The sequence below is a fragment of the Homo sapiens genome, chromosome 19 (genome assembly GCF_000001405.40).
Source record: "Homo sapiens chromosome 19, GRCh38.p14 Primary Assembly".
In the NCBI taxonomy this organism is placed as follows: domain Eukaryota; kingdom Metazoa; phylum Chordata; class Mammalia; order Primates; family Hominidae; genus Homo; species Homo sapiens.
In genome coordinates, this window is record NC_000019.10 from 23,804,529 (window position 1) to 23,817,512 (window position 12,984).

A 12,984-nucleotide genomic window follows, 5' to 3' on the forward strand; every position below is an offset into this window, starting at 1 on the left:
TCGTGATCCACCTGTCTCGGCCTCCCAAAGTGCTGTGATTACAGGCGTGAGCCACCGCGTCCGGCCTGTGCCTCATTTTTCTAAACAGTGCTAATAATGAGCCCAGAGAGAGCGACATCAGCACTGACAGGGGACTTCTTTAAAACACCCATTTATGGACCCTTTCCAAACCCACAGAATCGTATTACATAGAGTGGGGCCAAATTTACGAAGTGATTTATAAGCTCATTAAAGCTTGAGTAGCAATGCTTAGGTAAGTGGTTATAAGCCCAGACTTCTAATTAGAATCACATGGCCAATTTGCAGAACTCTCTTGTGCCCTTTTCACAGTTTGCTTAATGTTCTGGGTGAAAGCATCTATTTGTTTTAATTAAGTGTCTCATGTGACTCTAATTTGCCAGAATCAAGTATGACGAGTTCAAGATACATTTATGAGAGTTAAGTGCCGCCTTTGCACTAAAGAGGGGTCCAGGAACCTGTTCTGTTTGGGTTTGTTAAGGACAGGACAGTGTGGCCAATATTTCTATTACTGTAGCAGAAATTGCTAGTGTCTGTAGCAGAGGAGAGAACCTGAGGACCAAAAAAATAAAAAGCACACACACACACACACACACACACACACACACACACACACACTTTTTTTCTTTTTTTTTAAGATGGAGTTTCACTCTTGTTGCCCAGGCTGGAGTGCAATGGTGCAATCTCGGCTCACTGCAACCTCCACCTCCCGCGTTCAAGCGATTCTCCTCCCCCAGCCTCCTGAGTAGCTGGGATTACAGGCATGTGCCACCACGCCCTGCTAATTTTCTATTTTTAGTAGAGATGGGGTTTCTTCATGTTGGTCAGGCTGGTCTCGAACTCCCTACCTCAAGTGATCCACCCACCTCAGCCTCCCAAAGTGCAGGATTACAGGCATGAGCCACCTTGCCCAGCTGCAGAGAAACTTATAGTTCCTAAATCATTTCTGTTATAAAGGACAGAAATGGGTAGAGTTTTTCTGTCTTGGGCTTTCTGCCTTTAGGTGTGGTGGTAAGAGATGAACATGTGGTGCTCAAAGTTTTTAAGGCATATTCTCAAGATGCAGGTATAATTAGTCCAGAAAATGTCATCTGAGAAATAATTCTAGAGGAGGAGGAGAAAGAGAAAAAATGACTTTTTTTCAGCTAAACATTTCTGACATCAAGAGCTGTGTCCGCTGTGCCTCCTGGATTGCCATGTGCTTAGTATGTGCAAATCTTTACTTCTAAACTTGTGTTTTTTCTCCCTAATGAGTTTTTCTTAACTACTTTTATAAATGCTTGTGATAGTCAAGGGTCTCTGAAAAATATTTCGTTTCTATATATCACAGACTTCTCTACATCACGACTTCTTATATGCCGTGCAGAATTCTCACCATGAATTCGTGATCTGCAATATTAAAAATGTTGTCTTTGGCTGTTGAACATGGATAGGTGTGGATTATCTATCTGTCTGTCTATCTATCTATCTATCTATCTATCTATCTATCCTTCTTTCTTTCTTTTTTTTTTTTTTTGAGACGGAACCTCACTCTGTCGTCCCCGCTGGAGTGAAGTGGCATGATCTCGGCTCACTGCAGCCTCCACATCCCGGGTTCAAGCAATTCTCCTGCCTCAGCTTCCTGAGTAGCTGGGATTACAAGCATGCATCATCACACTCAGCTAATTTTTGTATTTTTAGTAGAGACGGGGTTTTACCATGTTGGTCAGGCTGGTCTCAAACTCCTGACCACATGATCCACCCGCCTCAGCCTCCCAAAGTGCTGGGATTATAGGCATGAGCCACAGCATCCAGCAATGATACTCTAGATTTCTATGGGGAAAACCTGGGATTCTTAGTAAAGATGGAGAACATGTAATGTTGAGGTTCCTTCTGTGTTCTTAATGGCATTACACCATTAAGAAAATGCTCATTTAAACAGAATGGCATTTATTACCCAAAAAGTTCTGAGAAAAGTGGCTGGGTGATGTGGCTTATGCCTGTAATCCCAAAACTTTGGGAGACTGAGGTGGATGGATCATGAAGACAGGAGATTGAGACCATCCTGGCTACCACGGTGAAACCCCATCCCTACAAAAAATACAAAAAATTAGCCAGGCATGGTGGCACGTGCTAGTAGTCCCAGCTACTAGGGAAGCTGAGGCAGGAAAATCACTTGAACCTTGAAGGCAGAGGTTGCAGTGAGCCAAGATCGCACCATTGCACTCCAACCTGGGTGACAGAGCGAGACTGAGTCTCAAAAAAAAAAAAAAAAAAAAAAAATTACCAGGAGATACCTGCTTATTTGGGTGCTAAAGAGAGACTACTTAAAGTCACTATTAAAAATTGTAGAACATGGAAAATATCTCTATCTTGGACTTTCCATATAACCGATGTTTTCTTATGGTTAAATTGAGACTGTAATTTACTTTAGTGGGGGGCCATATCTCAGTAGTGATGCTGTGTCCTTCTGGGTGCATCAGCACACTATGAAAACTTGTTCGAGTGCATTTGATGTTAATAACTCACTTGCTTAATAAACTCTCTTACAGATTTTTGCACTATAGAGGTTTTTTTTCCTCTTCATCATTAAGTATCTTTATGCAGCTGATGTCCATACACCATCACATTTAATCTGGCAGCTGCCCTGTTTTTGAGGTTTTCTTTGTATTTATCTTTCTTTGGTAAATGAAAGCTCTCATCTTTGTTTACAGGCCAGAAAAACTGAAAAAGACACAGGCTCTTCCACTTACTGGATGTTTGACAAAATGATATTTTGGGGCCAAAACATTGGCATTACTGGTAAACTTGGTAGAGATTCAGTAACTCAGACTTTATTTCAGATCTCCTGAAAAAATAATCTGCATTAACATGATGTCCAGTTTATTGTACACATTAAAATTTGAGTGGTACCTTCTAAGTCAACATGTCTATTTTGTCTGAAAAATGTAAAGAACTATGTCTTTTTCATCTGAAAAACATATATAACTCATTCTGTATTATGTAAATATAGTACTCAAAAATGTGCATGTTAGTGTCTATGCCCTCAATTTTATACTTTATCATCCAGACAAGTATCATATATACACTGATGTTGTGGATATTATGCCACTCTCTTTTCTCAGAGTTAGAGAATACATTAGAAAAGGTTTGTGTGTTGACAATTATTTTATTGGATAATTTCAGTCACTCTTATAAGTCAGAACCAGTTTTTTTTACTCTCTCATTTTGCCTTGAGTCAAATGGAAAATTCTGCCAATGGCCACTTTGTACATATGTGTGTTTGTGTGTCTTTTCCAGGGACTCTTGACGTTTAGGTATGTGGCCATAGAATTCTCTCTGGAGGAGTAGCAGTGCCTGGACACTGCACAGCAGAATTTATAGAGGAATGTTATGAAAACCTGGCCTTCCTGGGTGAGGATAACTTTAATACAAAATTCCTTATATAAACTAAAGGTTTCATTTCTCTTTTGTAGAATGTTTTCTGGTAATTTATGCTTTCAAATTTCTGTTTTCAAGAAAATCCTGGGGATTTGTCTGTTTAGAAAAGAATTTCTTCAAGATATTTCATCTTGACCTGAACTTTCCACATTCCTGAGCGGATCTGTGTCCTTCACTTTAGATTATTGGTAATTTCAGAAGTTTAGTTGCATAAAATATTGTTACTCACACCTTAAAATCTAATTATCATCACCAGTTTTTGATTCAGTAGTACCAGGCAGTGAAATTAAGAACCTACAAAATTAATTTTTTTTTTTTTTGGAGATGGAGTCTTGCTCTGTCACCCAGGCTAGAGTACAGTGGCATGATCTCGGCTCACTGCAACTTCCGCCTCCCAGGTTCAAGCGATTCTGCCTCAGCCTACTAAGTAGCTGGGATTACAGGCACCCGCCACCATGCCCAGCTAATTTTTGTATTTTTAGTAGAGACAGGGTTTCACCATCTTGGGCAGGCTGGTCTCAAACTCCCGACCTCGTGATCCCAGCCTCCCAAATTGCTGAGATTACAGGCGTGAGCCACTGCGCCTGACCAATAAAAGTATTTTCTAAATAGTTAAACATTTCTGTTATAAATTAGTATATTGGGATAAATTTATTAGAATATTCTATTATATCCTCTTTACTGAACACATTACTAAGTTGGTAATTGGAGAATATGAGCAAGATTCATGTTAGTTATTTTTAATAAAACAGGTATTACTGTCTCTAAGCCAGACCTGATCACCTATCTGGAGCGAGAAAAAGAGCCCTGGAATATGAAGTGACATGAGATGGTGGATGAACCCCCAGGTAGGTTAGAGTGAATACAACAGACAACATGGATGAGAGGCCCAAATCAAGAAGAAAGCAAGTCTTTAAAGTGATTTGGGAAGCTGTGTTCAAAAGGAAATAGTTTCTGGAAAGCCTGAAATTTTTAAAAATTATACTCTCACGTAGGGGCATCTTATGTCTTATGTTTATAAAATTTCTAAGAATTCTAATTTCCCTTCAGTGTTCTTCCTTCAAATTTACAGTGACAGCTAAAGTACTATTCATGACATACAAAAAGAGTGCACAATCTGACTTTTTTCTTGTTTTTGTGGACAGAGAGATATCTCCATAATTTTGAGATACTCTATGTTAAACTATTTTTTAAGTTCTCTTTTTACATCACGTCTGAAATGCACGAGAGTGACGGTTTCTGTTTCACTGGTTTTCTTGTTCATTTTTTCTGCACATTTCATCCTGTTTTCATTACCATAGTTTTGAAATATAGTTTGAAATTATAAAGTATGATGTCCTTCTGCTTTGTTCTTTTTTCTTAAGATTGCTTTGGCTATTCAAAGTTTATTGTAGTTTCATCTATGTTTTAGGGTTGTGTTTTTCATTACTGTGAAAAAAAAACACTGGAATTTTGACAGGGAGTTTATTGAATCTAGAGATCACTTTGGATAATATGGCAGTTTCACAATACTTATTCTTTCAGTAGAAATAAAATATTTTTAAATTTATTTGTGTCCTCTAATTTTTTTCATTGATATATCTTTCACTTAAAAGATTTACAAGCTCCTTGTTTAAATTTGTTCTAAAATTAATTATTTCATTGCTATTGTAAATAAGATTTTTTTTCTCTCTTTTATCAGACCGTTTGTTTTAAGTGTATGGAACCATAACTTATACTTGTATGTTAATTTTATATTTTTAGTTTAAACAAGTTTTAATGTACTGTTTATGTTTTTTTTTTATATATAAGATTACATGGTCTACCAACAGCAATGTTTTACTTTTGGTCTTCAATTTCAATGACTTTAAATTTTTCTTTTGACTATTTCTTCATCCACATACTTTCAGTGCTATGTTAAAATAGAAGCATTGACAATAAGAAACAATTGTTTTGCAATGGGGTCTGTAAATTTAAAGGAGCAAACACCTCTTCAAGATTTTATAAACTGGTTTCAGAGAGCAAAAATAAATTTTTGTTTGGCCCCCCCAATGTGATAGAATGCCCTCTGGGTTTGTGGTGAAGAAGGGTTGTAGCTTGGTCTTAAGGCTGCTGGGTTTGCACAAGGGTTCACCTTTAGTTGTCTTGTTAAAAGGGGCTTGGATAGGCTGGGTGCGGTGGCTCATGCCTGTAATCCCAGCACTGTGGGAGGCCGAGGCGGGTGGATCACGAGGTCAGGAGATCAAGACCATCCTGGCTAACTCGGTGAAACCCCGTCTCTACTAAAAATACAAAAAAATTAGCCGGGCGTGGTGGCAGGCGCCTGTAGTCCCAGCTACTCGGGAGGCTGAGGCAGGAGAATGGCGTGAACCTGGGAGGCAGAGCTTGCAGTGAACCGAGATCGTGCCACTGCACTCCAGCCTGGGTGACAGAGCGAGACTCCCTCTCCAAAAAAAAAAAAAAAAAAAAAAAAAAGGGAAAAGGGCTTGGATAGTTGTAGTTTTCATTTTCATTTAATTTTTGGACAGAGTGAATATCTTTCAGGACTTTGCTGTGTATTGCAGACCCAGGGGCAGGTTTCTGCAGTCGGGTCTGCATATGGTGTTCTTTATATCAGGATGTGATGAGAGTGGCTTTCACTGAGTACAAGAGAGAATTTTCCCAGGTCACTTTGGGTTTCTACATAGGCAGAACCGGCCATGAACTGTGGCTCAGGGAGCTGGAAATGAGTCATGGAACTGCCTCAGGGACCACAGTAAAGGCCAAGGTCTGCAGGCCTCTCAGCATAGCTATAAATGGGTGTCTTCCTCTAGGCCTCTGGAAGAGCAGGACCTCCCCCAGACTGTGACTGGGAAGAGTTTGGGATGGTTACAGAGTAAGTTCAGAATTCTCACTGGAACCAAGTTAGGTGGAACGTTTTCTTGTCTGTAGCCAACAACAGTAGTCCTGTAGTTTGCCACCTGAATGAGGGCCTGCCTTCTAAACAGAATTATCTTCAATATTGGGCTTTAGCAGAGTTTCACAACTCCCTTCCTGGATCTCAGAACTCTCTTAAAGGCACTTTTTTTTTTTTTTTTTTGAGACGGAGTCTTGCTCTGTCACACAGACTGGAGTGCAGTGGCGAATGCAGTGGCACGATCTTGACTCACTGCAACCTCCGGCTCCCAGGTTCAAGTGATTCTCCTGCCTCAGCCTCCCGAGTAGCTGGGATTACAGGTGCCCGCCACCACCCAGCTAAATTTTGTGTTTTTAGTAGAGATTGGGTTTCACCAGGTTGGCTAGGCTGGTCTTGAACTTTTGACCTCAGGTGATCCACCCACCTCAGACTCCCAAATTGTTGGGATTACAGGTGTAAGCCAATGTGCCTGGCCAAAGGCACTTATTTTTGAGATGGGGTCTTGTTACATAACCCAGGCAAGTTTTAGTATTTTGACTGTAAGCAATTCTTTAATGTATCATGTAGCTGTCATTACTGGTGTAAACCATGATGCGTGATTCTCTTAAAAAGGCATTTTCATCAGGAATGACTGACAAATTTTCTTGCTGTCAGGGGATAAGCAAATAGGATGCCTTTTTTTTTTTTATCTTGTTAATGTCACTCTCCATATAAATTTTTACTTTATTTTCTACTTTAAATTTGTCTGCAATTTTAGATTCAGACATTTAGGGCAATATACTAGAATTTACGTGTTGTGCCTGAATTAAATTAGGTAATTAGTATGCAGGCAGGCAAAAAGGAATTATAAAATTTTCAACCACTTTTGTCAGCCTATATCTAAATAATAACATAGTTTATTTCCCAAATATTTGTTTTATATATGAGGCTCTAACCATATTCTGCTAAATATATGTATAATTTAGCAATGTAAGGTATTATTTGCTTCTATATTTGGATTAGTTTTATTTTGTTCAAAAATAGCAAACATTTAAAACAAAAAATTGTCAGTAGTTTCTTTTAAAAGCTTATCCATTAAAGGTTTCTCATTAGCATCTCCTGTTTATGATTGTATTTCCTTTTCTCTGAAATTTTATTGCCATACAATAGATATCAGTAATTTAAAATGCCTGCCTTCCGGGAATGCACAGTTACAGTCAAACATTGCAGTTATCTAGACAAATTATTTGTTAATGTACATTGATGTTGCCAACTAGATTTTATGAGTAAACATTTATTATTGTCTTGTAGTTCTATATTGTGGTTTTTTACTATAAATTTCTTAATATCAGTTTATTGTGTTTTTGGTTTTACTTATGTATTATAATTTTAGATAATTGGCAATTCTGTTTGTATACTTTAAGTTAATGTGGGGTTTAATTAAAAGATAAATGGGCCATATGTCTATCACAATCAGATATGTGTGTGTTTATATCTGCAAATGTGACCCCAATTTTTGTTGTAGCTTATCTTGTATATATTCTTTCTTAGCTCATTCTCTTTTTCTCTTTTTTTTTTTTTGTTTATGTTTTTGAGACGGGGTTTTGCTCTTGTTGCTGAGGCTGGAGTGTAATGCAGTATCTCGGCTCACTGCAACCTCTGCCTCCAGGGTTCAAGCAATTCTCCTGCCTCAGCCTCCCAAGTAGCTGGGATTACAGGCATGTGCCACCAGGCCTGGCAAATTTTGTATTTTTCTTTATTAGAGACGGGGTTTCTCCATGTTGGTTAGGCTGGTCTCGGATTCCTGACCTCAGGTGATCTGCCCACCTCAGCATCTCAAAGTGCTGGGATTGCAGGCATTAGCCACTGGGCCCGACCTCTTAGCTCATTTTCAATGTTGGTTTTATCTTGTCTAAGTGAGTAGCCTTGGAAATAGTCTCATTTTCGTCATGTGTTTAATGATGAATATGTATTTCCTTTGTGTGAGACAAACACTTTGTGATTTGGAGGTAATTTTTAAAAAGATTTATAATTTGGTATTTTTTTCAGTTTTTTAAAAAGTAACTGTAAAAACATGTAACATGTAATTTAGTTTCTTAAATCTATTTAAATATACATGTCACAGCCAGGCATAGTGGTGGCTCACATCTGTAAAACCAGGATTTTGAGAGGCCAGGACAGAAGGATTGCTTGAGCCCAAAAGATTGAGACCAGCCTGGGCAAAATGTGGAGACACCCTCTCTACAAACATTTTTTTTCTAAGAAATAGCCAGGCAGGGTTGTGTGTACCTGTGGTCTCAGCTACTTGAGAGAATGAGGGGCAGGGTTACTTGAGCCTGGGACTGTGAGGCTGCAGTGAGCCATAATTGTGCCACGCACTCAAGCTTGGGTGACAGATTGAGACCCTGTCTCAAAAAAAAAAAAAAAAAGTTGTGTATTTCAGGTATGTTAACTATATTCACATTGTTATGCAAAAGACTTCTAGAAATTTTATATCTTGTAAAACTAAGACTCAATATCCATTAAATAACATTTACTCATTTTATGCTCTCTCCATCCCTTAACAAACACCCTTCCACTTTCTGTTTTTATGAGTGTGACTATTTTATATATCTTACGTAAGTGAAATCATAATATCTATGATTTTACTACTGGCTGATTTCAGTTGACATAATATTTTCAAAGTGTATCTTTAAATGTGTCAAGATTTTTAAGATTTTTTTTAAGGCTGAATAATATTCCATTGTATCAAATATGTCTTGAAGGTCCTATATTGCATATTTTAGATATAGATTAATAAATGGAATTGCTGTATTTGATAATAATTTTATTTTTAATTATAAGAAGTACATTTATAACATAAAATAATGGATGCCTGCTTGTTTTCTACTGACAATCAACACGGGTTTCTTTTTTTTTTGAGACAGAGTCTCACTCTGTTGCCCAGGCTGGAGTGCAGTGGCATGATCTCAGCTCACTGCAACCTCTGCCTCCCAGGTTCAAGCGATTCTCCTGCCTCAGCCTCCTGAGTAGCTGGGATTACAGGCACGTGCCACCACACCCGGCTAATTTTTGTATTTTTAGTAGAGATGGGGTTTCACCATGTTAGTCAATCTGGTCTGGAACTCCTGACCTTGTGATCTGCTCACCTCGGCCTCCCAACATGCTGGGATTACAGGCGTGAGCCACCGTGCCAGCCAGTCCAACATGATGAAACCCCATCTCTACTAAAAATATAAAAATTGGCCAGGCATTGTGGCAGGCGCCTGTAATCCCAGCTTCTTGGGAAGATGAGGCAGGAGAATTGGTTGAACCTGGAAGGCGGAGGTTGCAGCAAGCTGAGACCATGCCACTGCATTCCAGCCTGGGCAACAGAGCAAGACTCCATTTCAAAATAAAAAAAAAAAAAAGAAGTTATCTTCTATGTCTAATTAAAAGATTTTTCACTTATAGTTTCAGGAAATAATCGAACTTAATTTTATCAGTATTGATATTCAGTATGGATAATTCAGTATGGATATTCAGTTTTAAAATTATCTTTTTTCTATTGTGTGCTCATGTCAATTTTGTGGGAGATTATTTGGCCATATTCAGAAGGGTTATTTCTGGGCTCTCTGTTCTTTCATCTGTTTATCTGTCTTTTTGTCAGTACCACATTGTGTTTGTTATTGCTGCTTTTAATATGTTTCAAAATCAGAAATTATAATGCACCTTTGTTCTTTTTCATGGGTGTTTGGCTAGAGGTCATAATAAAATTTTAACATTTTAAACAATATTTCTTTAAAAAACTGCTGTTGGGATTTTTATGAAGATTATATTGAATTTGTCTACCACTGTAAGTTGTATTGACATCTTTGAAAAACTATTATTTTTTGATTCCTGAGCAAACATATGTTGAAGAGTGTGTTTTATTTTCTTATATTTTTGGATTTTTTTTAGTTTTAATTTATAGCTTAATTCAGTTTTGGTCAGAAAACACAGTGTATAATTTTGGTCTTCTTAAATATATTTGTTGTTGTTGTTGTGTTTGTTGTTTTTGTTTGGAGACAGGATCTTACTCTGTCAACCAGGCTGGAGTGTACTGCCATGATTTTGCCTCACTGCAGCCTCAACCTACCAGGTTCAAGTGATCTTTCCTCCTCAGTGTCTCATGTAGTTGGGACTACAAACATAAAGTACCATGTCTGAATAATTCTTTGATTATTTGTAGGGATAGAGTCTCACTATGTTGCCCAGGCTGGCCTCAAACTTTTAACTCCAAGTGATCCTCCTACCTTGATCTCTAAGTGTTGGGATTATAGGCGTGAGCTACACCACCCAGCTGGCATTCTTAAATTTAATAAAACTTAGTATGTGTCCTAACAGAATACACCAGATGCAAATAAGAATATTGTATATTCTCTTGCTTTTGACTGGAAAGTTTTGTACTCATGTGTTAAACCTAGTTGGTCTGTAACATGGTTTTGATGTTCATGTTCTCCAAACCTTATTCTGCAGTGTAATCCTTAATGTTGGATGTGAGACCTGGTGGGAGGTGTTTGGGTCATGGGAGCAAAGTCTTCATAAATAGCTGGTAATCAAAATGTTTACACTCCATTAATTCAAATGTAAGCAGGTTTATTAGAAGAACCTGGCTCCTTCACCTCATACTTGCTCTGTCTGTTATTATGTGACATGTACAGTTACTCTTCGCCTTCAACCATGATTGTAAGCTTGCTGAGACACTCACCAGAAGCAGATGCTGGCACACACTTTTTGTACAGTCTGCTGGATTGTGAGCCATATAATCTTTATTTCTTTATAAATTATCCACTCAGGTATTCCTCTATATGCAAAATGATTAATACGGTCTGCAATGTCGTCTAGGCTTTGTTTTCTTGTTGATTTTTTAATCTGAATTTTCTATTTATTATTAAAAATGGGGTATTGATGTCTACAATTATATTCTATGTATTTCTTGCTTTACTTTTGTCAATATTTGCTTTATATATTTTGGAGACCTTATGTTATATATACATATACATACAGATAGGTAGATGGATATAATCATTATAGATTTGTGGTAAATCAACCTATTTTATGAGTATGTAATATCAGTGTTTGTCTCATGTTAGCACTTGACTTAAAACATATCTAATACACAATTGTAGTTACTATTTTCATAAAATGTAGTTGTTTTTTTTTTCGCTCTGTGGTTTTCAGCCTATTTGACTTAGTGCTGAAATGATTCCCTTGTAGGCAACATACTGTTTGCTTTTTTCTTAAGCTAGTAAAGCATTTTATTTTTTCTTTTTATAATTTCATTTATTTACTTGTTTATTCATTTATTTTTGAGATAGGGTCTCACTCTGTCAACCAGGCTAGTTTGCAGTGTTGTGATCATGGCTCACTGCAGCCTCAACTTACAAACTCAGAAGATTCTCTCATTTCAGCCTCTTAGGTAGCTGGGTTACAAGTGTGTAGCATCACGCCTAGCCAGTTTTTTGTGTATTTTTGGTTGAGACAGAGTTTTGCCACACTGTCAAGGCTGTTCTCAATCTTCTGAGATCCAGTGATCAGCCCGCCTTAACCTCCCAAAGTCCTGAGATTACATTTCTTTTTATTAAGTAATTTAATTTATATTTAAAACTGCTTCTTAAAAATGAAGTTACTGGTTTTATTGTAACTGTTTTATGTGTTCCTGAGTGGTACGTTTTTTCTTATTCACTGTTTTATTGCCTTAAATTTTATTTTAATTGTGTAGTGATGTGCTTCAATTATTTTTCTAATTTTGTTTTGCACAGTTTCTTTAATTATTATCTTTATAATCATGTTGTCTATTCATGTGTTTTCATGCTGCTGATAAAAACGTACCTTACCCTGGGCAAATTACAGAAGAAAGAAGTTTATTGGACTTACAGTTTCATGTGATTGAAGAGACCTCACAATCATGGTGGAAGGTGAAAGGCATGTCTCACATGGTGGCAGACAGAGAGCTTGTGCAGAAAAACTCTGCCTTATAAAGCCATCAGATTTCATGAGACTTATTCACTATCATGAGACTAGTACAGAAGAGACCTGCCCCCATGATTCAATTACCTTCCACCACATCCCTCCCACAACATGTGGGAATTAAAGATGAGACTTGGGTTGGGACACAGCCAAACCATATTATTTTAAAAAATGGAGTTTACATTAAATATCTTAAAATTCAAACAATATACTTTAATGACAACTTCAATTGAATATAAAATTATACCTCTATGTTTTTCAGTTTGTTATTAACATTAAAAATTTTTAGACTGGGTGCAGTGGCTCACGCCTGTAATCCCAACACTTTGGGAGGCCGAGGTGGGCGGATAACCTGAGGTCAGGAGTTTGAAACCAGCCTGACCAACATGGAGAAACCCTGTCTCTACTAAATAATACAAAATTAGCCAGGCATGGTGGTGCATGCCTGTAATCCCAGCTACTCGGGAGGCTGAGGCAGGAGAATTGCCTGAACCCGGGAGGGAGAGGTTGCAGTGAGCCAAGATTGTGCCATTGCACTCCAGCCTGGGCAACAAGTGCGATACTCCATCTCAAAATAAAATAAATAAATATAAATTATTTTGTGTATTTATTAACATATTTATGCAGATTGTATTCTGTTTTAAATATTTTACAGAGGAGCTTTAAGGGTTTTATGCATCATTATTATGATAGTAAAGACT

The 12,984-nt window shown here is 37.6% G+C and overlaps 1 protein-coding gene across 14 annotated transcripts in view; it reads left to right on the forward strand.

Moving 5' to 3' along the window:
- Window positions 1-12,984, forward strand: part of RPSA2 (ribosomal protein SA 2) — a 112,693-nt gene that overhangs the window by 46,033 nt on the left and 53,676 nt on the right. For 8 of the 14 annotated variants that reach the window (NR_170714.1, NR_170711.1, NR_170712.1 and 5 more), the window contains 2 exons: window positions 3,298-3,411; window positions 4,191-4,286. The exons of 2 other annotated variants lie outside the window; for them this stretch is intronic. The gene's annotated coding sequence lies outside the window, so the exon portion shown is untranslated. Of the gene's footprint in view, window positions 1-3,297; window positions 3,412-3,516; window positions 3,627-4,190; window positions 4,287-12,984 lie in introns of all 14 variants that reach the window. 4 more of the 14 variants (NR_170710.1, NM_001387845.1, NM_001355287.3 and 1 more) reach the window with 3 other exon arrangements.